Source organism: Homo sapiens, chromosome 14 (assembly GCF_000001405.40).
Source record: "Homo sapiens chromosome 14, GRCh38.p14 Primary Assembly".
NCBI lineage: Eukaryota > Metazoa > Chordata > Mammalia > Primates > Hominidae > Homo > Homo sapiens.
Genome location: NC_000014.9, coordinates 61,086,226 through 61,112,895, shown reverse-complemented (window position 1 = coordinate 61,112,895; position 26,670 = coordinate 61,086,226). Strand labels below are relative to the sequence as shown.

General features: G+C 43.5%; 6 annotated features.

Annotated features, from left to right (window-relative positions):
* Positions 8,063-8,977: an enhancer, noted in NCBI's record as "H3K27ac hESC enhancer chr14:61570637-61571551 (GRCh37/hg19 assembly coordinates)". NCBI's record gives its function as "activates a minimal SCP1, AML or CMV promoter by ChIP-STARR-seq in primed H9 embryonic stem cells {active_cell/tissue: H9 hESC(primed)}" and the evidence as "EXISTENCE:reporter gene assay evidence [ECO:0000049][PMID:30033119]".
* Positions 8,063-9,546: a biological region, named in NCBI's record as "MED14-independent group 3 enhancer GRCh37_chr14:61570068-61571267".
* Positions 8,347-9,546: an enhancer, noted in NCBI's record as "MED14-independent group 3 enhancer chr14:61570068-61571267 (GRCh37/hg19 assembly coordinates)". NCBI's record gives its function as "activates an origin of replication core promoter dependent on BRD2, BRD4, P300/CBP and CDK7 cofactors, and independent of MED14, by STARR-seq in HCT116 cells {active_cell/tissue: HCT116}" and the evidence as "EXISTENCE:reporter gene assay evidence [ECO:0000049][PMID:35650434]".
* Positions 10,810-11,726: an enhancer, noted in NCBI's record as "OCT4-NANOG-H3K27ac hESC enhancer chr14:61567888-61568804 (GRCh37/hg19 assembly coordinates)". NCBI's record gives its function as "activates a minimal SCP1, AML or CMV promoter by ChIP-STARR-seq in naive H9 embryonic stem cells {active_cell/tissue: H9 hESC(naive)}" and the evidence as "EXISTENCE:reporter gene assay evidence [ECO:0000049][PMID:30033119]".
* Positions 22,167-22,306: an enhancer, noted in NCBI's record as "active region_8485". NCBI's record gives its function as "activates an Ori minimal core promoter by ATAC-STARR-seq in GM12878 lymphoblastoid cells {active_cell/tissue: GM12878}" and the evidence as "EXISTENCE:reporter gene assay evidence [ECO:0000049][PMID:35858748]".
* Positions 23,370-23,871: an enhancer, noted in NCBI's record as "H3K27ac hESC enhancer chr14:61555743-61556244 (GRCh37/hg19 assembly coordinates)". NCBI's record gives its function as "activates a minimal SCP1, AML or CMV promoter by ChIP-STARR-seq in primed H9 embryonic stem cells {active_cell/tissue: H9 hESC(primed)}" and the evidence as "EXISTENCE:reporter gene assay evidence [ECO:0000049][PMID:30033119]".

Genomic DNA, 26,670 nt, shown 5'->3' with positions numbered 1-26,670 from the left:
CAGTGAATGACAGGCACCTTCTGAGACTCTGTCCCCATGCTGAGCACTGAGGAGGGCACGAAGGAACAGAAGCAAGTAGTCCTTCAGCTGTGTGAATGAGGCTGGATGAGGGCAGAGAAAGGGGCAGCCCAGGGGCTGAGCTGGGGGCCCCGCTGTGTGGAGCAGGAGGACTCCCAGGGCCCTGCTCAGGGAGTGGGGACAGCCCCGTGGAGAACACACATCCTGGCTGAGGAGACGCTCCAGGACAGGCAACATGGGGCACAGCATGATCAGTACATCTCACAGGGAACATGCTGCTGTTCACTTTAACAAACACTTTAGACACTGAGGTTAAAGTCACCTGTGCACAAAGGCCGGGCACAGATCTTTCCATGAGTAACACAATGGTGTGCAGAGTAACATCTGGGCTGGTTTTCATTTCATTTTTTTTCTTTTTTTTGAGACAGGGTCAAGCTCTGTCTCAAACAGTGAGGAGCGCAGTGCAGTTGAGTGCACTGGTGCAAACACAGCTCACTGCAGCCTCGACCTCCTGAGCTCAAGCGATCCTCCCACCTCAGCCTCCAGAGTATCTGGGACTACAGGTGTACACCACCATGCCTGGCTAATTTTTTGTATTTCTGTAGAGACGGGGTCTCACTATGTCGTTCAGGCTGCTTGGGTGGTTTCATTTGTACTACAAAAGTAAATATTGAAAAATTTGTGACATAGAAAATAGAAATAAACACCATGAGACTCTGGTGCAACTCACTGGACAATGACACAGAGCTTCTGATTGCAAAGTCTGCCGATTCTTTGTCTTAGGCACTCTGTCACCAAAGCAGCAGCTCAATGGGGCTGCACCAAGGCCCCCATCCCCACTGCACTGCAACCTTGCCCCCTTGCAACTCTCTAGGCTTCCCTTTGCTGTGTGCAAGACTACCTGTCAACCTGTTCCTCCTCACAGGGGCCTTTATACACCCACCGGAGGCCCGGCCTCGCCACTCGGGAAGTGCCCTGGCAGAGAAGATAGCACTTACCCAGTTGACTATGGGTCTGGCTTTCATCCTCCATTGTAGCTAAGTACCTGTCTCTGAAATTAAAACAGTTTGGTGGATTCTCTCCCCAGGTTTTATATTCTTCCAGGATTGGGCACTGTCACTGCACTCTGGAAACCTCTGTGAACCTGGTCTGGTCTTGTCTGCACACAAACAGAAATGGCTAGATGGAACCAAGGCCAACGGAAAGGGTTTGGCCAAGCCCCAAAGAAAATAAAACGATTCGACCCCAAGGAGGCAGACAGTCCTGATTCCGGGCACACGAGGTAAACGCCAAATGGAAATCCAACTGTTGCGGAGAGTGATTGCTCAGATGGGGCAAATGTGCTGTGAAATCAGCCCTTGGAAAATCATCTGGCGTTCATCTTAGTGAAATCCAAAAACAATGACTGCCTCCCCCAGCCTGCTCCAGAGGGAGCCTCAGGAGCTCCCCTCGTCGAAGCCCGGAAAGCCGCGGCAGGAGCGAGGCCCCGGGTCTTCCGACTCAACCCTTGTTTATTTACGAACCTGCCCTGCGTTTCTTTCCCGCTTCAGTTCATCCTTCACCCCCGCTTCCCACCGCCTCCGCCCACCACGGGAGGTCCAGGGCATTCATCATGCCTCTTGCATGACAGGCAGCAGAGACACAAATAAAAATGGGACCGTTAACTCCACGGCTACCAGGCACAGGGATGGGGGCCTAAGCTCACACATTTGGGGGCCTTAGCAAATAAATCCTGATGTGTCCCCCAAAGACTTCCTGCTTCACTGGGGGAAGGTTGGGCAACCTAAGATTTTACTCTCAGACATGGCAACAAAAGTTGCAGTACAGAGAATTAGAAGGGGTTGCTGATACTTCCTAGAAAAGAGACTGAGCCTGAGTTGGGCTTTTCATTTCACAGTGCACATTCGAAACCGCCAGGGAAGCAGCTCTGGTCCCTGGCCCCTGGCCCCTGGGGCCTATTTTTATTCTGGCAAAGTGGCCTGAGTTCATCTACATTCTTAGAGGGGCAGGAGTTCAGCCCAGGGAAAGACCACGTCCCCACCAGCCAGGAGGCTTCTGAGTCTTTCCCGCACCACACTTTCTATAATTGCTCCCACAGACAATGTTGGAGCTCTGAGTAATTGAGGAGTTAGTTGCCATATGATGGGCTGGGTTTTGATATTGCTAAAGATCAAGGGACATGGGAGACTTTTTGGAGGACTGATGGTTTCTGTCCCCAAATCTCACATCTGCCCTTGACACTCTCCTAGAGTCTGAAGCCAACCCACTCTGGGTCTGTGATCTCACTTGGAAAATTCAGATGGTGGGGCTGAAGCGAAGTTGGAGAGAGTGGAGGGAAGGAGCGGGAGGATGTTTGTAAGCTGCTTAGCAGATCAAAGTGACAACGTGTCACATTTTCCAAGCTGGTTTCCAAAGCACTATGTTAACGGATCTTCCAGAAGTCCATCTCTTAACAACCTGAAAGAGGTTTGGTTCTCAATGTTTTCTGCCACAACACACAAGATGACGATGGTCATAAGAGTGGCATACTTCTGTGGACTAGCCCACTCTTGTGCACAATTCCCCACCTACAGCTGCCTCCTACTCTTTTTCTTTCCCACCCAGGAAAGCAAATCGGAATAAAAGTGAGTGTGACAGGCATTATTATGGGGTATCTTAGAATCCACTCTAGTTAAAAAAATCTTAGTGTATGAATCATTCACAGACTTTCATACTTGGCCAGAAGGGACATGACTTTTACATGGGACCATGGTTTTACTGGGACATGGTTTTTCATGGCAGAGAAAGATACCCACAGCTAGCATCGAGCTTGCTGAGGGCTTGTGTTTGATCCCTGGTCAGCAGGGCTGGCTGTCCAAATTTCAGGGTCTGGCATGTGGGTGTGGGAAGAGAGCACATCACCCTGAAGCTGGTGTCCCCGCTAACTTATGTGAGCATCAGCTCTCTTCACCCCTGGTTGTTGTGGGCTGAGAAATCCCACATCTGGCAGGGTTCAGAGTAACTCAGGTATAATTACACTGTCAAGGTGACCAGGCTTAGGATCACAGGGCTCAAAAGAAGGCATGAGACCTGAAAATGGAGCTGCACTGTCAGGCCACACAGAGAGTAGATGAGGCAGAGAAGGGGGCTGGCAGGAAGGGTCTTAGGACTTTGGGAGGAACAAGAGAGGATAGCATGGGGAAATAATGTCTGTGAGAATTCTCAGAAAATGGGGTGGAAGGATTCTCTCAGCCTCTAGAACCTGCTTTCTATGTCCCACAACTTGGGCCTCCAGAAAGCTGGTAACATCTTTCCTTTCCTTCCTGCCTCCAGCAGACAGTGCAGTTGAAAGCTCAAATTTCAGGGCTGCAAATTGAGCAAGGAGGGTAGTGACAGCAGTCCACCACACCACACACCAGCTGCCTTCTTCCCCCGAGGCCACCAAGCCCTGTTCCTCACACCATGGCCAGAGGGCCTTGGACCAACTATTACTTGGGAACGCAGCTGCCCTCATCAACAGGCCCAGGGGTCTTTTAAGTGAGTAAGGTCTTCAGACGTGACTGAATCCAAAATGGGCAAGGGGAGTCAAGGTTTTACTCTTAGTTTCCTTAGCATGCTTTCCACAGGTGTTCCACCGTGGTAAGTGCAACAGACACAGCCCCCCTCACGAGTGGTTCTTCCTCTGGTGGAGGCAGGCAGGAAATAAATACAGAATCATCAAAAATCAGCTCCAAGATGGCAAGAGTTTTTGTCTGTTTCCCCAGAACACAGAATGGTGCTTGGCACATGATAGGCGCTCAGTAAACAAATATGTTAATAACCAAGGGAAAGTGTCGGAGTGCTAGGTGCCATGGCCAGAATGAGAGTGTGCTGGGACACAGATAGGCCAGAGGTTTTGCCCACAAGTTGCAGCTGCAGTGAGAACACGTCTGATGATGTACTGCTCAGCACAGGACGGTTCCACGATGAATGTGTCAGTTTCCTCGGAATACCATAAGAAGCCACAGACTTAAACAGCAGAAACTTACTGTCTCATGGTTCTGGAGGCTAGGAGTCCAAAATCAAGCTGCTGGGGGGTTGTTTCCTTCCGAGGGCTGTGAGGGCAGGATCTCTTCCTGGCCTCTCTCCTTTGCTTGTGGATGTGGCCGTCTTCCTCTCCCTTTGCATCATCTTCTCTCTATGTGTGTCTCCATGTCCAAATTTCTCCCTCTTGTGAGGACGCCAGTCATATTGGATTAGGGCCCATTCTCATTTTAACTCTTCAAAGACCCTGTCTCCAGTTAAGGTCACACTCTGAGGGACTGGGGGTTAGGACTTCAACATACGAATGAAAGGGGGCCCAATTCAACCCATAACAGTAAGGATTAAATACATAGTAGTTATTAATGATGATAATAAAATCAATAACAAGGAAAAAGTAGAAATAAAAACCAAAACAAAGCCATTAATAACAAAGTCAAAACTTTCGCTTTATTAGCACCAAGCAACTCTTCCAGCAGCTCCATGTAGCCTATGGGACAAAGGCCAAGTTCCCTGGACTGGCAGTCAAGGGCTTCCACGGGGAGCCTCCGCCTTGTTTTCCACCTTCCCTCCCTGCCTAGGCAGTGTCTCCCAGTGCTCACTTCATCTCTTCGTGAACATTGCTGGGGCTGTGCTGCCCCTACAAAGCCCTTTTTCCTCTTCTCTGCTTATCCAGCTTCAGCTCATCTCAGGAGCCCAGATGCGGGTGCTGCTCCTGCAGGAAGTACTTCCTAAACATTGTCTGCCAGTCATCATGCAAACAACCTCAAGACAACTCTGAAGAAAAAAGGGGCTGCTTCCAGAGTGGGGAGGCTCAGGGAACCCAGTAGGGAAATGGGGACCAGCAACAGCAGGAAGCCATCAAGCTCCCCTAGTCCTGCCAGAGCTGTAGCTCTGGAGGAACCTGCCAGTGCCAGAATCACAGCAAAACAGGGAGGAAGCAGGGAAAATAAACCCCGGCCTCACTTTTCCTCTGCTCTGTGACCTCCTGCCCACTGCTCCACCAGCAAGGCCACTGGAAGCTGGGGCAAAGGGCCTGTTGCTGCAGCCTGCAGCCATTGCATCCAGGACACATGGCAGGGAAAAGTGGACACAGGGGTGAGTAGGGGGCAGACAGAATAATCAGCACACGTACTGCCTGTGTCAACCTTGCCCTTCTCTGAACCCACACAGTATTGTTTTTTAATCTGGACCACTTGTGTGCCCCGTAGTCCGCCAGGGCCACCTTGGCTAGGAAGCTCACTTCCAAGTGTGTGGCCATCAACTATGGCTGGAGTATGAGGCCGAGAGCAGAGAACACATCAGATGCCTCCTCTGTGCCCTGCCTGCTTCCCCGACCTGCAGTGCTGAGTACAGAGCCAGGCTTGTAGTACGTGCTTAGTAAATCAGAGCTGAACACAAGTGGGGGTTTTGGAGATGAAGCGTGGGTGGGATCCATGCAACTACATATTGAAAAATCACTGGCTCTGGAAGAGCAATTGTCAGGCCCATTTCCTGCTGCAGACGAGCCAGGAGACACTCGGGGCTTGGCAACCTGACAGTGGAGGAGCAGCCAGGGAATTTAGCAGGAGACAGAGAAAATGAGCCCTGCGGGGCTGGCGAAGCCCCATCAAAAGCAGACTCAGGCAGAGTCTCCCTTCCCCGATTCAGGGGCCAACACCGGGGTGGGGTGCCGGCTCTGCTTGCTCAGGTCCTCTGTAAGCCAGAGCGTGCGGGAGTCAGGGAGAACAATGCATCATTTTGGAAGCTGATGCTTCAGTCTGAGGCCAGGCATAGCTTGAGGGCCACAGAAATTGTTGCCTGAGGAGAGCACAGATGTGTCAGTCCTGGCACCTGCCATGCCAGGTCAAAGTTGGCCTTTGGCCTCAGCGGGTTTGGGGCTGGGGATAACCCCTGTATGCACCAGCAGAGGGCACCTTAATTGCAATCTATCCATAGGCTGGCCACTGATGTGTGTGGTGGGCATCGCAGCCTCCACTCCAGCATGGTTTTCACCCCAGAGGACCTGCATAGTCACTTCATTTCCCTTTCCAATTCAGGAGTGAGTGTGTGACCCAATTCTGGCCAAAGAAATTTACAGGGAGTCCAGGTGCAGTGGCTCATGCCTGTATTCCCAACATTTTGGGAGGCCAAGTGGGAGAATTGCTTGAGGCCAGGAGTTCAAGACCAGTCTGGACAACAGAGCAAGATCCCATCTCTATAAAAAATAAAAAAATAAGCCAGGTGTGGTGGTGCATACCTATAGGACTATCTACTGAGGAGACTGAGGGGGGAGGATTGCTTGTGTCCTAGAGTTCAAGGCTGCAGTGTGCTATGATCGCACTACTGCACTCTGGCCTGGGTGATGGAGCAAGACCTTGTCTCTATAAATAAATAAATACTTAAAAAAATGTATAGGGAAGTCTGCTGGGTGCTTTTTGAAAGCAGAATGACAATCCGTCTTCTTCCTCTGAACAATGTGTCTCAATATGATGCCTATGACTGCTGCTACTGCCATCTTGCTACTACCCAGAAGATGAAGCCAAACCTGATGCTCGCAGGACTGAGACGGAGAAAGAATGTCAGTCTTTGATGAGATAATATAGCCTCTAAAACAACCAGCCCTCAAACCACATTATTCCAATATTTCAGTTCTGTGAGACAATCAGTGTTCTAATTGTATATATAATAGGCTAAATATTAAATTATTTATATTAATATAATTATATATTACATATAATTAGATATAATACACTAAGTATAAAATATAATATATAACATATATATATATATATATTTTTTGGTAGAGATGGGGTTTCACCATGTTGCCCAGGCTGATCCACCTGCCTCAGCCTCCCAAAGTTCTAATTCTTTAAGTCCGCATCAGTGGGATTCCCATTACTTGCAGCTAAGAGCATTCTATTCAATGCCACCTGAGAGATCATTAGCTAAGCCAGGTAGACTAACTCCCTCCAGGACCTGTTGAGGACAGGCAGCCCACAAGCAGCTGAGGAGATAACTTTAACAGTTACACAAACATGTATTTTAATAGCTATGTGATTGTTTTAACAACTTTTAATTTTTAAATATAAGCAGGATGTCAAACCTATGATACAATATTTCCTTCTGAAATCTGTTATTTAAGTAAAAGCATGAATTATTTGTAAAGGAGAATATTAAGTACACTACAGTACTGATGGGGGTCAGGACACACTACACGAAAGTACGGCACCTTGGTATTTGAGGAAACAGCAGAAGCAGGAAAGTCACCGTCAGACTTTCTCCCATCTCTCTCCCTTGAAGAAGGTCATAAGACCACCGTTTGAAAGATGCCTTCCCTATATCCAGAGGAAATGAATGTCCTTATCTCTGAAGACACTGGGACACAGAGAATATGAGCAAATGGGCCTTGCCAAGTCCCCCTTCCCTGTTGATTCCCATTAGATCAAAACTTTTTGTCCTCCAGTCATACTTCTTCATGACCGGATATCCACACTTCATCAAACCTAAGCATAAAAATACACAGGTTTCCCTGTTTCTTTGGCTCTTTATTTCTGAAAGCTCCTGTGTCACATAAAATTTACATTGAATACATTTGTCTGCTTTTCTCTTGTTAATCTGTCGTTTGTTATAGGGGCTTTGGCCATGAACCTAGTGATGGGTGTAAAAGAAATATCATCTCCCCTGTAGTATAAATTATATGAAGTGAAATAATGGAATGTGACTGTCTGAAATGCTGGCCAAGTGGATCAAGGCTACTGTGGGGTTGACTGGCCAGTAAGGAGGCAGAGGAGCAGAAGCACCAAGAGCAAAGGACTTTCAATTCAGCAACTATGAATTGAGCATCTTTTATGTGCCCAGCCTGGGCCAAGTACTAGGGTTGCTGCAAAGAAGACGGTGACTCGTCTAGCGGCCCTGATGCTTCCATCTAACCAGGAAGATGGACATTAACCAAATGACTTCACAACACATTATTTAAATACAGAGGTGGTAAATCCATGTGGAAAACAGAGGGGTGTTAGGAGTGCATATAACAGAAACACCTGACTTCAACCAGAGGGAATGGAAAGGCTGTGGAGACAGAAGTGGAAAGCTGTCTGGGGCTGCCCCACATTGGCCTTGCTCAGCTCCAGGCCATCAACATCCTTAAACAGGCTTTTGCTCTGGGAAGCCAAGTAATTTTGTCCTCCCACCAGAAAACTGGCATGTTGAAGTCCTAACCCCCAGTCCCTCAGAATGTGACCTTAAGTGGAGATAGGGTCTTTAAAGAGGCAATTACGGTTAAATGAGGTCACGAGGGTGGAGCCTAATCCAACAGGAGTGTGTCCTTTTAAAAGAGGAAGACATAGACATATGCAGATGGAGGACCACATGCATTTGCAGAGAAGACAGTCTTCTGCAAGCTGAGGAGAGAGGCCTCAGAAGGAATCAACCCTGCAGACAACTTGATCTTGGCCTTCCAGTCTCCAGAACTGTGAGACAATCCATATTTGAGCCATCCAGTCTGTGGGACTTTGTTAAGACAGCCCTAGCAAACGAATATAGCAGCCTAAGTGAGGAGTTTTTGTCCTTTGCAATCGAAAGAGCCCTACTAATACTGGGAGCAAACAGGCTCCATTTTGGGAAGGGAGGATCCTGGCTGGGCCTGAAGATGTCACTGGGGCTGTCTGGGCACAGGACAGCTCCCTTTGTGTCTGTTCAGCCTCATTGTTCTTCCCATCCCCCCACACGGGGAGATTTGCAGCAGACACCCGCTTCCCTGCTGCATGGGGAGCAAGCTGGTAAGGAGAAACCCCCGCCCTGCGTGGTTATGGGCTCCCTGATGTTCTAACTGTGGATCAGTTATAACAGTCCTGCAGGGAGGAGGGGGTTTACTGCCAGGAAGAAAAACCCCAGGAACCCAGCCTTTCTGCTTCTCGGGACAGTGGGGGCCGTGGGGTGGAGTGAGATTCTCCAGCCATGACTCATGCTAGGTTTCATGAGTAAGGGAAGTTAAGAGAGTCATAATGACTGTACTGAAAAGCAGTTAAGTCCATCTTCACAGCAGCATTACACGGAATTAAAAACTGCACAATTTGATCCTATTTGCAACCACAGCTGCCATAAACTAACATATAAGCAAACTGAGCAGAGTGAACTCAGTGCCCCTGATTCAGGCTACGCATATGGGCCTGTATCCACAGTGCTTTGAGCTTCAGCAGAAAAGACCTCACCCTTCCATTCCGTTCCTATTCCTCCGAACCACTGAAATCACATGGGTGTCTGCCCTTTGGGTGGGGACACCATCAGAGCTGGCCTCTGCCAGGGGAAGAAGAATAGGGGCCTCACTGGCCAGGCCTCAGAGATTCTGAGAATGAGACTCACTGTTGTACCGGTAAGAAGAAAACCCGCAGGCTGCTGGAAAGGTGAATTATTTGTAGCCATGGCTAGAGCTGACTTCCCATTCCCACACTTCCAGCAGAAGAAAGACTTGGACAGACAGCACTGAAAAAATCCTGGAGAAGTGGCGGGCCCAACAGGGAGAAATGCAGGCTCTTTCACAGAGGACAGGAGATTGACAGGTGCTAAGTAGGGTGTGTGAGGCCCGCCAGGGGCTTGTGCCGCACACCCATAGTCAGAAGTGGAGGGAACCTCTTCCTCTCCATTAGCCAATGCTCTGGACACTGGGTATCGAGTACTTTCAATCCAGCTAGTTGGCACCATTGCTTCCATATGTGTGCTGGAATTTATTGAGTACCAAGTGTTTACAAAGTGCAATATTACCCACAGAAGAAAGCTTCAAAAACAGGAGCAGACTACTTTCGGTGGCTCTGCCTTTGACCTTTGTGCAGATCAGCAGCGGCAACTGACCTCCCTACGCCCTTTTTCAGTGGAGTAAACAAGAGGCAGGGATGGTCACAGAAAAGGGAGTTAGTCATCCAACCCCTTTAGTTGTCCCTGAGCCCACCCAAGCCCTATTTGCTTTGTGCTAACCTGGCCTCCAAAGGCAACAACCAATATTTGCTGTGTGCCTTGCCAGGGAGACATACAAAGCAGCCCATGTTGGAGTGCGAGCCAGCAGGATTTTTTTCAACCTAACTGGAGGAGACATGTGCACGTGAACTATTACCAACAGCACAGGCATTGTGGATAAGAGCCAGGTGAGGGACCTAGACTTCTGAGAACCAGGGAGAAGCCATTTGCTCTCCTACTTCCTCAAGTCACCCTTTGATGACACCCGTCCATGCCTCCCCATGAGGCCAAAAGGAGAAAACAGAGCACAATGAAAGAGACCATATTCTCTCAGCAGTCTCTACTCTCATACCTCTACCACCCTGTCCCAGAGTGGGAGGGAAACCTTGAACTGCTAAAGGAGCTCACTTCCCTTCCCTAAACAAGTCTTAACAATGAAAACCAAAACTATTTCTTGAGGGCCTACTCTGTGTCCTGCACTGTTTGGTTATTCTTTCCAATCTTCATAATAATTCTGCAATACAAGTGGTATTTCCCCATTTCACAAGTGTGAAAATACAGACAATGAAATTGTTAAGTCACTGCCAGGCAGGATGTAATGCAGGAGAGTCTGATGACAAAAGTTTCCTCCCCAGCCTGCCTTGAAATTGCTCAATGTTTCCATAATCAGTGATTACAACTCATTCGATTTCAGGAATAATAAATTTAGAGTGTGTCTGAAAAGGAGTTGAGCAGCTATAAATAAATACTTGTGTACATTCTCTTGAGCGAGATCCAGGAAATGGTCAGGAGCCACAGTTCTTCTACCTGGAATCCATTTTTCATTCAGGACACAAATCGGCAGCCTGCTGATCTCTGTGCATCACAATGCAAGGAGAGTGAGGCTGTCAGCACTGTTTCCTTGAATCCTGCTGTGCAGTGGCAATTTATTCTAGGAAGCACGCTGCAGAGCATGACCAAAAATAGAAATGCAGGTTTTGCATATTTCATTTCCTAATGCTAGTAGCACTATGACACTTTTGATAGAAGGCTGGGATGGCTGCTATGATGTATCAAACTTTATTGACACTTGATGTGTCCCAAGTTGGCTTGAAATGCCAGGTACCTCAAAGGGGACAGTTTCCTTGAGAAAAGCACTTGCTTGAGAGTCTAATATTTGAAGCACATTAGCCTCACCTGATGCATTAAGTTTCTAAACCTAAATAGGCACCAGGACTAATGTGCTCTTTAAGGCTTGGGCTGTGGTCAAGCATGTGTTTTGACTTCATGTTTTGAAACCATGAGGATAGCAAATTAAGGAGACAAAAGATTCATACAGGTCAATTCCTGACTCGGATGGTTTGGGCTGTCCATCCTGGAGACCAAGGCCCAGTTCTGACAACGGTTACATGCTGGAGGCTGACAAAGCTGAGCTACAGAGCATGCAGAGATCTTGGAGGCAGCACCCCGTCCATGCCAAGGACACACAGAAAACCAAGACTATTTGTTTCTTCTTCCTCAATTTGTTCCCACTCCGTCCCTGCTGGTGTCTGACTTGCGACCATTAGGTATGCATCCCTTTGAGTTAATGCAGACCATCACAGGTCAGCAGCTGAATAAAGGTAGTAGATTTTTCATAAACCAATTATATTCCATTTTAAAAACTGTATTTGAAATCCTTTCCCACTATTTTATTATTGTTAAAATATGCTTTCTTTTAGAAAGCATGGGTAATATTAGGTGGGAATGCATTTTCTTTTTAATGTTCTCACTTAGCAAAATAAAAAGGTATCACTTTGTCAGAGGTTACCAAAACTGGGGGGAATTCTACTGGTCTAGGAACCTCTGCATTAAGACATCATTCCCAGAAAGCTTGCATTTTAGGATGCAGACCCTGCATGGTAAGCCTGGGACAGCCCAGTGAGAATGAGCTCACAGGTTCCTTTTTCACTGAAAAATGGGAGCCCAGGTTCAGTGAGCACAGGGAGAACCCACCCACTGAAATCCCCTGGAGGTGGGAGTGGGGGCGAGGGGCACTGGGCAAAGACACACTGTGATTATTTTGATCATTTTGCTAAGGCTCCTCCTGTCTTCCTCTTCCCCAAACAAAGGGGAAAAAAAACATGAAAATAAATCCCCCAAGGAAAGAGAAAGGGAACTGGACAGGTTATGGTTTGAAAGTTTTATTATGGGTGATTTACCATCCCTCAAAAAAGATGGGTTATTATCAGGGCATCTCTTATCAGGGTTTTCTCTCTCTCCAAAATCCTGAACAAGAGGAAATTGCCTCAAAATGAAGCAAGAATGGGTCTAGATAGTATTTGCTGTTCCTCTACCTTCTCTATCTTTCGAGGCTCAAATTAATCTTCATTCTGACACAGTTCCCGGCTCCCACAGGCAGGCCCAGTGGTTCCTTCCTTGATGCACCCACAGTACTTTATCCATACCTCTAGTGTTGTCCTTCTCATTAGGTATTTCTAAATACTCTATTTTCTTCTGATTACAAAACACAAAAGTTAAAAAGCAGACCCTTTGAAATAACAATAACACTATGTGCCTGGCCCTCTTCTAAGCAGATCACAGTTATTACCCTGTTAATTCTCTCCATAACCCAGTGTCTCAGCAACCCAAGTGTCTCCCTAAATTTATAGCTGGAATCTTTCTACCTCTGATGCCTGACACAGTGTTGGCCTCAGTCAATACCTAATAAATAATTTTGAGTTTACAAGAAAGACAAGAGTTTGATTTGGATATTTCACATGTTGCCAAATTTAGGAAAATGGGTCTGTTCAGGTGACATTTGGGAGCTTTCTCTAGCTTAAAGAGCTAGTATTGTGGGCACCTTTTATTAGTCCGTTTTCACACTGCTATAAAGAAATACCCAAGACTGGGAAATTTACAAAGAAAAGAGGTTTAATTGACACAATTCTGCATGGCTTTGGGAGGCCTCAGGAAACTTACAATCATGGCATAAGGGGAAGCAGGCACATCTTACATGGCAGCAGGTGAGAGAGAGAGAGAGACAAGAGAGAGAGAGGAACTGTCAAACACTTTAAACCATCACATCTCATGGGAACTCACTCACTATCATAAGAACAGCATGGAGGAACCACCCCCATGATCCAATCACCTCCCACCAGATCCCTCCCCCGATACGTGGGGATTACAATTCGAGATGATATTTGGGTGGGGACACAGAGCCATACCATATCACACCTGTAATTTACTTGCACACTTTCTTGTCTTATTGGGTGTTTGTATACATATGTGTGTCAATACACTCATAATTTACCAATTTATTAATCATTGGCTGCTATGGGTAATTCTGAAAGTGGGTGGGTGTGTACAAAATTAGCTATATGTGTGTGTGTGTGTCCCAGAAGGATTGGCAAATTAGTAATTTATGTCTCTGTCAACATTTCTATTCTGAAACTAAAATATTTACTTACTTAACTAACTTTTGGCTTTACTAACAGCTGTTAGCACAACAAACTGGTGCTTGATGATGTAGGAAAAATAATAAAGCATGTGGTAATTCAACTGCTTTTTAAAAAACACATCTTTGCTGGGAAGGCAAATTGGAGCTGGAGGACATCCAGAGAAATGCAACATATGGTCAAGAAAATGGAATGGCTTCTATACAGGCAAAAAAATGTCTTTTTTTTTTTTTCCGGGAAAGATAAAAAAAGTTAAAGGGAAAAAAGCTATAAAGTTATAAAATTGTGAAAGACACAAAGAAGATAAACATGGAGAGTTGGTTTCAAATTCCAAAATAATGAAATTACTTGTCCTTTCTACCTTGGATGTCAGGTAAATTTAGATAAGTAAAATGAAATATTACTTTTTACATATTGGGTAGGAGGTTAAAAAGAAGTACTACTCCATACACAGTGATAACTGGGAGTTGATGATTGGTTTAGGAATGGGTGGATGAAGGAATCATAAGAAATTATAAGAGAAAAATAGGATGTTGGGGGAGGGTGATAGCTTCCTAAACTGATGATGCTGACATTGTGGCAGACAGCTATGCCTCTACCAATCATGCCTGAAACAAAAGACTATGTTGATGGACTATGAGTCAATAGATAAATATTTGTTTAAACTTACATTTCTATATTTCCTATTGTGTCTGTATAGTTTGATTTACATTAGTATGAGGAGTTTGATTTTCATTAGTATGTATAAATTATTTCCCTCTGACCAGTTTCATAGGGTCATTATTTTATAAAAACAATTGGCTTCCAATAAATGGTCTTATTTTGGCCAGGCATGGTAGCTCACGCCTGTAATCCCAGCACTTTGGGAGGCCAAGGCGGGAGGATCACCTGAGGTCAGGAGTTTGAGACTAGCCTGGCCAACATGGTGAAACCCCCATCTCCACTAAAAATATAAAAATTGGCCAGGCAAGGTGGCAGGTGCCTGTAGTCCCAGCTACTTGGGAGGTGGAGGCAGGAGAATTGCTTGAACCCAGGAGACAGAGGTTGCAGTGAACCGACATCGCTCCACTGCACTCCAGGCTGGGTGACAGAGTAGGACTCTATCTCAAAAAAAAAAAAAAAAAAAAAAGGGCGGGAGTTCCAAGATGGCCTAATAGGAACAGTTCCAGTCTACAGCTCCCAACGTGAGCAACGCAGAAGATGGGTGACTTCTGCATTTCCAACTGAGGTACCGGGTTCATCTCACTGGGGCTTTTCAGACAGTGGGTGCAGCCCACGGAGCGTGAGCCAAAGCAGGGCGGAGCATCGCCTCACCCGGGAAGTGCAAGGGGTCGGGATATTCCCTTTCCTAGCCAAGGGAAGCCGTGACAGATGGTACCTGGAAAATCGGGACACTCCCACCCTAGTACTGCGCTTTTCCAATTGTCTTAGCAAACAGCACACCAGGAGATTATATCCTGTGCCTGGCTCGGAGGGTTCCATGCCCATGGAGCCTCGCTCATTGCTAGCACAGCAGTCTGAGATTGAACTGCAAGGTGACAGTGAGGCTGGGGGAGGGGCGTCCACCATTGCTGAGGCCTGAGTAGGTAAACAAAGCAGTCAGGAAGCTCGAACTGGATGGACCCCACTGCAGCTCAAGGAGGCCTGCCTGCCTCTGTAGACTCCACCTCTGGGGACAGGGCATAGCTGAAGAAAAGGCAGCAGAAACTTCTGCAGACTTAAACCTCACTATCTGACAGCTTTGAAGAGAGTAGTGGTTCTCTCAGCATGGAGTTTGAGATCTGAGAACGGATAGACTGCCTCCTCAATTGGGTCCCTGATCCCCAAGTAGCCTAACTGGGAGGCACCTCCCACTAGGGGCTGACTGACACCACATACAGCCAGGTGCCCCTCTGAGACGAAGCTTCCAGAGCAACGATTAGGCAGCAACATTTGCCATTCTGCAATATTTGCTGTTCTGCAGCCTCCGCTGGTGATACCCAGGCAAAAAGGGTCTGGAGTGGACCTCCAGCAAACTCCAACAGACATGCAGCTGAGGGTCCTGACTGTTAGAAGGAAAACTAACAAACAGAAAGGACATCCACACCAAAAGCCCATCTATATGTCACCATCCTCAAAGACCAAAGGTAGATAAAACCACAAAGGTGGGGAGAAACCAGAGCAGAAAAGCTGAAAATTCTAAAAATCAGAGTGCCTCTTCTCCTCCAAAAGAACGCAGCTCCTTGCCAGCAACAGAACAAAGCTGGATGGAGAAAGGCTTTGATGAGTTGAGAGAAGAAGGCTTCAGATGATCGGTAATAACAAACTACTCCGAGCTAAAGGAGGATGTTCGAACCCATCGCAAAGAAGCTAAAAACTTGAAAAAAGATTAGATGAAAGGCTAACTAGAATAAACAGCATAGGAAGACCTTAAATGACCTGATGGTGCTGAAAACCATGGCACGAGAACTACGTGATGCATGCACAAGCTTCAGTAGCTGATTCGATCAAGGGGAAGAAAGGGTATCAGTGACGGAAGATCAAATGAATGAAATGAAGTGAGAAGAGAAGTTTAGAGAAAAAAGAGTAAAAAGAAATGAACAAAGCCTCCAAGAAATATGGGAGTATGCGAAAAGACCAAATCTACATCTGATTGGTGTACTTGAAAGTGACAGGGAGAATGGAACCAAGTTGGAAATCACTCTGCAGGATATTATTCAGGAGAACTCCCCCAACCTAGCAAGGAAGGCCAACATTCAAATTCAGGAAACACAGAGAATACCACAAAGATACTCCTTGAGAATAGCAACTCCAAGACACATAATTGTCAGATTCACCAAAGTTGAAATGAAGGAAAAAATGTTAAGGGCAGCCAGAGAGAAAGGTCGGGTTACCCACAAAGGGAAGCCCATCAGACTAACAGCTGATCTCTCAGCAGAAACTCTACAAGCCAGAAGAGAGTGGGGGCCAATATTCAACATTCTTAAAGAAAAGAATTTTCAACCCAGAATTTAGTATCCAGCCAAACTAAGCTTCATAAGTGAAGGAGAAATAAAATACTTTACAGACAAGCAAATGCTGAGAGATTTTGTCACCACCAGGCCTGCCTTATAAGAGCTCCTGAAGTAAGCACTAAACATGGAAAGGAACAACCGGTACCAGCCATTGCAAAAACATGCCAAATTGCAAAGACCATCGATGCTAGGAAGAAACTGCATCAACTAACGAGCAAAATAACCAGCTAACATCATAACGACAGGATCAAATTCACACATAACAATATTAACCTTAAATGTAAGTGGGCTAAATGCTCCGATTAAAATACACAGACTGGCAAATCGGATAAAGAGTTAAGACTCATCAGTGTGCTATATTCAGGAGACCCATCTCATGTGCAGAGACACACATAGGCTCAAAATAAAGGGATGGAGGAAGATCTACCAAGCAAATGGAAAACCAAAAAAAAGCTGGGGTTGGAATCCTAGTCTCTGATAAAACAGACTTTAAACCAACAAAGACCAAAAGAGACAAAGAAGGCCATTACATAATGGTAAAGGGATCAATTCAACAAGAAGAGCTAACTATCCTAAATATATATGCACCATACAGGAGCACCCAGATGCATAAAGCAAGTCCTTAGAGACCTACAAAGAGACTTAGACTCCCACACAATAATAATGGGAGACTTTAACATCCCACTGTCAACATTAGACAGATCCATGAGACAGAAAGTTAACAAGGATATCCAGGAATTGAACTCAGCTCTGCACCAAGTGGACCTAATAGACATCTACAGAACTCTCCACCCCAAATCAACAGAATATACATTCTTCTCAGCACCACAGTGCACTTATTCCAGGATTGACCACATAGTTGGAAGTAACGTATTCTTCAGCAAATGTAGAAGAACAGAAATTATAACAAACTGTCTCTCAGACCACAGTGCAATCAAACTAGAACTCAGGATTAAGAAACTCACTCAAAACCCCTCAAATACATGGAAACTGAACAACCTGCTCCTGAATGACTACTGGGTACATAATGAAATGGAGGCAGAAATAGAGATGTTCTTTGAAACCAATGAGAACAAAGACACAACATAACAGAATCTCTGGGACACATTCAAAGCAGTGTGTAGAGGGAAATTTATAGCACTAAATGCCCACAAGAGAAAGCAGGAAAGATCTAAAATTGACACCCTAACATCACAATTAAAAGAGCTAGAAAAGCAAGAGTAAACACATTCAAAAGCTAGCCGAAGGCAAGAAATAACTAAGATCAGAGCAGAACTGAAGGAGATAGAGACACAAAAAACCCTTCAACAAATCAATGAATCCAGGAGCTGGTTTTTTGAAAAGATCAACAAAATTGATAGACCACTAGCAAGACTAATAAAGAAGAGAGAAGAATCAAATAGATGCAATAAAAAATGATAAAGGGGATATCACCACCGATCCCACAGAAATACAAACTACCATCAGAGAATACTATAAACACCTCTACAAAAATAAACTAGAAAATCTAGAAGAAATGGATAAATTCCTTGACACATACACCCTCCCAACACTAAACCAGGAAGAAGTTGGATCCCTGAATAGATCAATAACAGGCTCTGAAATTGAGGTAATAATTAAGAGCCTACCAACCAAAAAAAGTCCAGGACCAGATGCATTCACAGCCAAATTCTACCAGAGGTACAAGGAGGAGCTGGTACCATTCCTTCTGAAACTATTCCAATCAATAGAAAAAGAGGGAATCCTCCCTAACTCATTTTATGAGGCTAGCATCATCCTGATAACAAAGCCTGGCAGAGACACAACAACAAAAGAGAATTTTAGACCAATATCCCTGATGAACATCAATGTAAACATCCTCAATAAAATACTGGCAAACTGAATCCAGCAGCACATCAAAAAGCTTATCCACCATGATCAAGTGGGCTTCATCCCTGGGATGCAAGGCTGGTTCAACATATACAAATCAATAATCATAATCCATCAAATAAACAGAACCAAAGACAAAAACCACATGATTATCTCAATAGATGCAGAAAAGGCTTCCGACAAAATTCAACACCCCTTCATGCTAAAAACTCTCAATAAACTAGGTATTGATGGGATGTATCTCAAAATAATAAGAGCTATTTATGACAAACCCACAGTCAATATCATACTGAATGGGCAAAAACTGGAAGCATTCCCTTTGAAAACTGGCAAAAGACAGGGATGCCCTCTCTCACCACTCTTATTCAACATAGTGTTGGAAGTTCTGGCCAGGGCAATCAGGCAAGAGAAGAAATAAAGGGTATTCAATTAGGAAAAGAGGAAGTCAAATAGTCTCTGTTTGCACATGACATGATTGTATATTTAGAAAACCTCATCATCTCAGCCCAAAACCTCCTTAAACTGATAAGCGACTTCAGCAAAGTCTCAGGATACAAAATCAATGTGCAAAAATCACAAGCATTCTTATACACCAAAAACAGACAGAGAGCCAAATCATGAGTGAACTCCCATTCACAATTGCTTCAAAGAGAATAAAATACTTAGGAATCCAACTTACAAGGGATGTGAAGGACCTCTTCAAGGAGAACTACAAACCACTGCTCAACGAAATAAAAGAGGACACAAACAAATGGAAGAACATTCCATGCTCATGGGTAGGAAGAATCAATATTGTGAAAATGGCCATACTGCCCAAGGTAATGTATAGATTCAATGCCATCCCCATCAATGCCATCTGTGACTTTCTTCACAGAATTGGAAAAAACTACTTTAAGGTTCATATGGAACCAAAAAAGAGCCCACATTGCCAAGACAATCCTAAGCCAAAAGAACAAAGCTGGAGGCATCACACTACCTGACTTCAAACTATACTACGAGGCTACAGTAACCAAAACAGCACGTTACTGGTACCAAAACAGATATAGATGAATGGAACAGAACAGAGCCCTCAGAAATAATACCACACATCTACAACCATCTGATCTTTGACAAACCTGAGAAAAACAAGAAATGGGGAAAGGATACCCTATTTAATAAATGGTGCTAGGAAAACTGGCTAGCCACATGTAGAAAGCTGAAACTGGATCCATTCCTTACACCTTATACTAAAATTAATTCAAGATGGATTAAAGACTTGAATGTTAGACCTAAAACCATAAAAACCATAGAAGAAAACCTAGGCAATACCATTCAGGACATAGGCATGGGCAAGGACTTCATGACTAAAACACCAAAAGCAATGGCAACCAAAGCCAAAATTGACAAATGGGATCTAATGAAACTAAAGAGCTTCTGCACAGCAAAAGAAACTACCATCAGAGTGAACAGGCAACCTACAGAATGGGAGAAAATTTTTACAATCTACCCATCTGACAAAGGGCTAATATCCAGAATCTACAAAGAACTTAAACAAATTTACAAGAAAAAATCAAACAACCCCATCAAAAAGTGGGCAAAGGATATGAACAGACACTTCTCAAAAGAAGACATTTATGCAGCCAACAGACATGAAAAAATGCTCATCATCACTGGCCATCAGAGAAATGCAAATCAAAACCACCATGAGATACCATCTCACACCAGTTAGAATGGCGATCATTAAAAAGTCAGGAAACAACAGGTGCTGGAGAGGATGTGGAGAAATAGGAACACTTTTACACTGTTGGTGGGACTGTAAACTAGTTCAACCATTGTGGAAGGCAGTGTGGCGATTCCTCAAGGATCTAGAACTAGAAATACCATTTGACCCAGCCATCCCATTACTGGGTATATACCCAAAGGAATATAAATCATGCTGATATAAAGACACATGCACACATATGTTTATTGAGGCACTATTCACAATAGCAAAGACTTGGAACCAACCCAAATGTCCATCAGTGATATACTGGATTAAGAAAATGTGGCACATATACACCATGGAATACTATGCAGCCATAAAAAAGGATGAGTTCATGTCCTTTGTAGGGACATGGATGAAGCTGGAAACCATCATTCTGAGCAAACTATTGCAAGGACAGAAAACCAAACACCGCATGTTCTCACTCATACGTGAGAGGTGAACAATGACAACACTTGGACACAGGATGGGGAACAGCACACACTGGGGCCTGTCTTTGGGTGGGGGGTGGGGGGAGGGATAGCATTAGGAGATATACCTAATGTAAATGATGAGTTAATGGGTGCAGCACACCAACATGGCACATGTATACATATGTAACAAACCTGCACATTGTGCACATGTACTCTAGAACTTAAAGTATAATAAATAAATAAATAAAAGGTCTTATTTTAAGTGATGAATGATGCCTCCTAACAGAACAACCAGCAGAACACTAATTAATGCATAGGCTTCTTGGCTGGTCTCTCTTATAAACATTAGCCCAAGTTCTGCTTTCAGCCACCACACATCTCTCTCTCCTGTGGTTCCAAATCATGTAAGTGATCCTTCTGCTAATAAACTCTCTTTGGCCTTGGGCTGGGCACACTGAGTCCTGGCACCCACTCCCTGGATGTCCCCATAGGGACATGTTCTATATGCAAAAATGGTGACGATGAAAAAGGGCTGGGACTTCATGGATTTTGGTTTGGTGAGCTGTTACCACTCCTCTGGCTTCTCCTGACAGAGCCTTCACTTAGCAGATCATCACATTTCACCCTTCAGAGCATGAGACTTGTACTAATGCTGCAGCACTACCCAGCAGGGAGCCAGCTTTCCCATGGTCACTGGATGTGTGTGGTGTTCCACAGAGCCAGGGCTGCGCCAAGATCTTCAGCTCCAAGTAAAATCTTGGAGACCTTTGCCTTAAATGGTAATTACTCTGGCAAAGGTCCTTTATACCTTGCTCTAAATGTTATCCCACCCAAAGTAGAAAATGACTTGTGGAAAGTCTTTCTTGTTTTAAAAAATAGCTATAGCTATAGTAAGGGCATAGCAGCTTTAGAAATGGAACACGTATATTTTTTATAGGCCATTATGAAATAAACTTGCAGTAACTAATTCTTTCTCACACCCATTTGCCTCTTTCAGAGACCCTGCAGGATTTAACATCCCAAACCAAATATACTGTTATGTGTTCCCAAACTATTTTTTCTCAGGGCTAAAGGGAAATTCCCATGAAGTGCTATTTTTCCAGAATGTAGCCCCCTGTCAATGCCAAAGAGAATACTTTAAAAATGATATTTCTCAATATTAGGGCACATTATGGATACAAAATCTTAGCCCAAATCCCCTTGGTCATATAAAACATGTCACATAATTGTATTTTCGGTTAGGAAGGAGTGTTACAAAATAAATATTTCCCCATTAGAACATACTGGGAAATGTTTGCTGACACCTACACTCAAACCCAGCAGGTTCCCTTGGAAGAGTTTGGCAAAGAACAGGCCCCTCCTTAATGAGGTGCTGGAGTTGGTTGAAAATTCAATATTAATTTACAAAAAATGGTTGCATTTAAGAAGTCAAAACTGAGGCCTGCTTGTGGGCGTCTGTGCCTTCTGCATTCTGGGTCTGTGAAATATCCTGGGTCAACCGAGGATCACTGTCCTTGATTGGATTGCATCAGTCTTTCTCTTTCTAAAGCAGTCTGTGGAAAACATCAAGAAGGGTTTTGTTTTGTTTTCTCAGAATTTTTTTTCCTTTCTCTATTTCTCCTACTGGAAAATTCTTACCACAATTGTTGATGGTTGTTTCATTTGATTTTAAGAGATGCATGGCCGCAAGGGCCGTGGGAGTACAAATCAATAGCTGTGATCACTGCTGGATCCTCTTGGAGGGTTTTCCCCTTTTTTGCCTGTAGCACACAATCTACATAGTCCTTGAGGGGAGCCTTACCTGGCCTGGTTCGGGCTTTTCTCTAGCTGCCAGATTGAAGTGTGACAACCACAGAGGTGGCTGTGGGGCTTTTGCTCCTCTCCTCTTGTCCCCAGAAGATTTAGAGTCCGCATTCTCAGCTACTCGGGTGCTCTCAGTTCCAGATCCAGTCATTTCCCCTCTAGCTCCCCTGTTCTTAACAGAGTCCCTCTCCATACTCACTCACTCACTGACTCACTTAATTCACACAATACTTTGTCTAGATCTGTGACCTTAATTTGTAAGTGCAGTGATGGTTGCACATTAGTTATTATGCTGGTCCTTCCAACACAAACTGCATACATTTTCATCCTCTAAGGTCCTAGAACTATTTTTCTGCACTCTAATGCTGGAATTTCAAGACACCAAAACAAAACAGGTGGGATTTAGAGGCAGGCTGGCCTTGGAGGTGGTCTTTCAATCACAATCCGCTCTGACTGCTCTATTCAGATCTTGGGAATGAAGTTTCGACAACATCTGGGACTGAAGTCAGTTTACATATTTTGATACCATGTCAATCCAAAAGGAATTCTTTTGGAGGTGTTTGGGTTTGAGGTACTTGAGCAAATGATTCTAAAGTATATTTAAGAGAACAGATATGTGAGAATAGCCAAGAAAATTTTTAAAAAGAGAATAAGGGCAGGGTCCATGCTTGATTAGCTATGAAAACACAGGAGTTCCCCTCCTGCTTACTATAAAGAAAGCTTAAAATAGTGTCTCTCCCACCCTAACAACAACAATAAAGTCAGATGACCAAAAACCCATACCTTTTCTTGAGTCCACCAGAAAGCTGAGATCACACGGAACCCAAAAGCCTGAAATCTAAGGAAAGGCTGCGTCCCCAAGAAGAGATGTGGCTGAGTATGGGAAGAAACACTGGGTGCCATACAAAAACATAAAAAGAATTCATCTAAAGCTTTTAACAAATTACTAAAGGCCAGAAGCAGACTAGCATGAGTGTAGCACCCCTGGGGGCTGCAGACACAAGAGGAATTGGTGCCCACTTGCAGGCTCTTCTCCACTCCCTTCCACCTACTGATTGAGAAAGGACTGAAGGCAGGGTGGGAGAGCAAAGAAGCCTCCCTGCACAGTGCAGGCCCAGGAAAGAGGGGCAACATTGCTGAAGGAAAGGCATAAGGCTACAGCCACACCCTCCTCCCACCTAAGCCACTGGGGAGGGACAGTACAGCCTGTTGCAGTCAGGGCACAGGTGAAGACCTACTGCAGCTTGGGGAAGGGGAAAGCCAAAACACCCTTGATCCCTGGGGAACGGGCAAGAAACAGTCCTGAGCCCCAGATCCAGACATTCTCTCCTGCACATGACACAAGGCAGGGTTCAGCTGCCACAGGAGGAGGAGGAGGAGGGGCAGGATTTCTGAGAAAGCCTTACTCCTAAGATCCAGGCATACAGGGCCTGCCAAAGCCTGAGAGTGTACTAGGATCAAGCGCACCCCTGACTCCCCAGCACTAAGTAACAAGCAACAACATTCTACCCCAAGGCTGAAGACTTCTCATTAAATATTAAAACTTCTGAAATCTTGAAATTGTTTAATTAATTGAGTAATTTAGCCCTAGCATAGATTAAGGAGACATTAAGAAAAGTTCAGAAATACAGAGTTCACAAATTCAAACATACTTAAGAATTTAGTAACTCTGAAGAAAATGTTAGCTAGTACCTCGTACCTTAAAACAAAATTAGTTCTATATGATTATTTTATTAAAAAAAAACACATAAGAGTACCAGTAAAAAATGTAAATACTGTTACCATTTTGGGACGGGAAAGTTATTTTGAAGTATCAACCAAAGACAGAAACTATAAAGCATTGTTTAATAGACTATATACAAATGGGGAAAAAATTCAGAATAGAATAAACAAAGCAAAAACACAAATAAAAATTGGGGGAAAATAGCAATATACATGGCCATTATACCTTAATATATATGATGTATAGATCCACAGATGTTAGACAGATAGATGCCTTAATATAAAAGGAGAATCATTTGAACCTGGGAGGTGGAGGTTGCAATGAGCTGAGATCATGCCACTGCACTCCAGCCTGGGTGACAGACAGAGACTCCATCTCAAAAAAAAAATTATATATATATACACACACACACACACATATATATATATATATATATATATATATATATACATACACACACACATATATATATATACACACATATATATATATATACTTATATATATAAATATAAATAAAATTATGAGCTCTTATAAATTAAATAAAAAGTATGTTCCTTTCCCTCAAAAGAATTATGAACAAAAGACAATAGCAGTCACTCACAAAGCAATAATCACAAACAGCTAACAAATATTTACAAAGTCACTGAACATAAGTAATAACTCAAAAATTTCACAAAGATAATAATCTAAGTTGGTAGTATGCCTGGAAATCAACATTGTCATAAAGGCATATGACTGATGGTAGTATAAATTGTCACAAGTTTTTTGAGGGAGAGGTTAAGAAATTTGGCAGTATGAATCAAAAACCTGAAAAACGTACCTACCCTTTGATATAGCAATTCTACATCTAGAACTTTAAGGAAATAATTAGTTAAAATCCAAAAGATTTATATGTATAGATATGCATAGCAGTGTTGTTTATTATAAATAAATGTTAGAAGCAACCTAAATGTCCAGTCATGGGAGATTGGTTAAACAGATTACAATAAATCCCTATAAGTTAATGCCAGGCAATAATTAAAATGATTAAATAGAGCAACATCATGGACATGGAAAAATGTTGACAGTATATATGTTTAAGTAATAAAGTAACAGGACAATATAAGCAGTATAATGCCATTCCCATTTTTTAATACATACACACACACACACATGCGCGCATGCACACACACACACACATTGTTGATAACAACAGAAGGAATAAACTCTGGATATCAGGTAGAAAATAGCCTTATTAGAAGGTAGCTTATAGACTCAACAATAAGGCTGGTGAACTAGGGTCGGCAACAGGGCAGGAACAAAGGGTGGTGAGGCAACCAAGAACACAGCCAGCTCATATCATGGTCCAGCCTGGTAGTGTTATAAACAAAATCCCACCATCCCCGGACACAAACCTCTGCATTGAGGGACTCCTGATTCAGCTGTCCTCATGAGAAATCTCCAACAGCCACCTGTATAATTTCATTACTTCCTTGAAATTTGAGCCCAGCATGGGAGCACCTGATCGGTCAAGACTCAGTCATATAGTTATACCTCCCATGAAATAGAGAGAAGAAATATCTATCTGGTCCCTTTAGCTTGCTGGTAAAGACATATATTTTGAGATTCTCCTCCAATACTGATAATGTTTGAATGCTGGATAGTCAGAAAGCAAGAATGATAACTCCATAAATACACACACAAACACAAACACACACACAAACACACACACATGGAAAACTGGACATTCATAACATGTCATGATTAAGAATTCACATATTAATTAGGTCGGGTTTTTTGGTGATGGTTTGGGATTTTTTTTTTTTTTTACATAAACAATCCTATTGTCAGTGAGTAGGGACTATTTCATTTTTTTCATTTCCAATCTGTATGTTCTATATTTCTTTTTATTGCCTTATTGCACTGGCTAGGCCTTTCAGTAAAATGTTGAACAGGAGTGGTATGAGAGGATATTCTTATCTCCTAATATTAGGAGAAAACATTCAGTCTTTCAGCATTAGGTATAATATTAGCTGTAGGGTTGTTTTTTGTTTTCATTTTTTTAGATGCCCTTTATCAGCTTGAGGAAATTTCCAATTCCTATTTTGCTGAGAATAACTATCATGAATGAATGCTGACTTTTGTCAAATGCCTTTTCTGCATAAATTAATATAATCATGCAGCTTTTCTTCTTTACGCTGTTAATATAATGGAATAATTATTTTATTATTTAAAAATTAATTTAAAAAATCAAACTTGCTTTCCCAGCATAACCCATTTGTTCATGTTGTATTCTTCTTTTCATAATTTCTAATATTTTGTTGAGTATTTCTGCATCAATGCTCATGAGAGATACTGGTCTATAGGTTTCGAAACTGTCTTTATCTGCCTTGATATCAGGGTAATGCTGGCTTCATAAAATGAATTGAGATGTTACCCCCTCTTTTATTTTCTAGAATATATCGTATATAATTAGTGATAGTTCCTCTTTAAATGTCTGGTAGAATTTTCCATTGAAATATCTAGACCTATTCTTGTTTGTTAACTGTTGAATATTTCAGAGGCTTATAAGTACAATTCAATTTCTTTAATATATATCACTATTAAAATTGTATATTTCTTCTGGGGTGAGTTTTGATCATTTGTATCTTTTAAGAAATTAATTCATTCATCTGTGTTGTCCAATGTATGGTCATAGAGTTGTTTATAGCATTCCCTTATTATCTTGTTATTGTCTATGGGATCTGTAGTAGTTTCCCTCTTTCATTCCTGATATTGGTAAT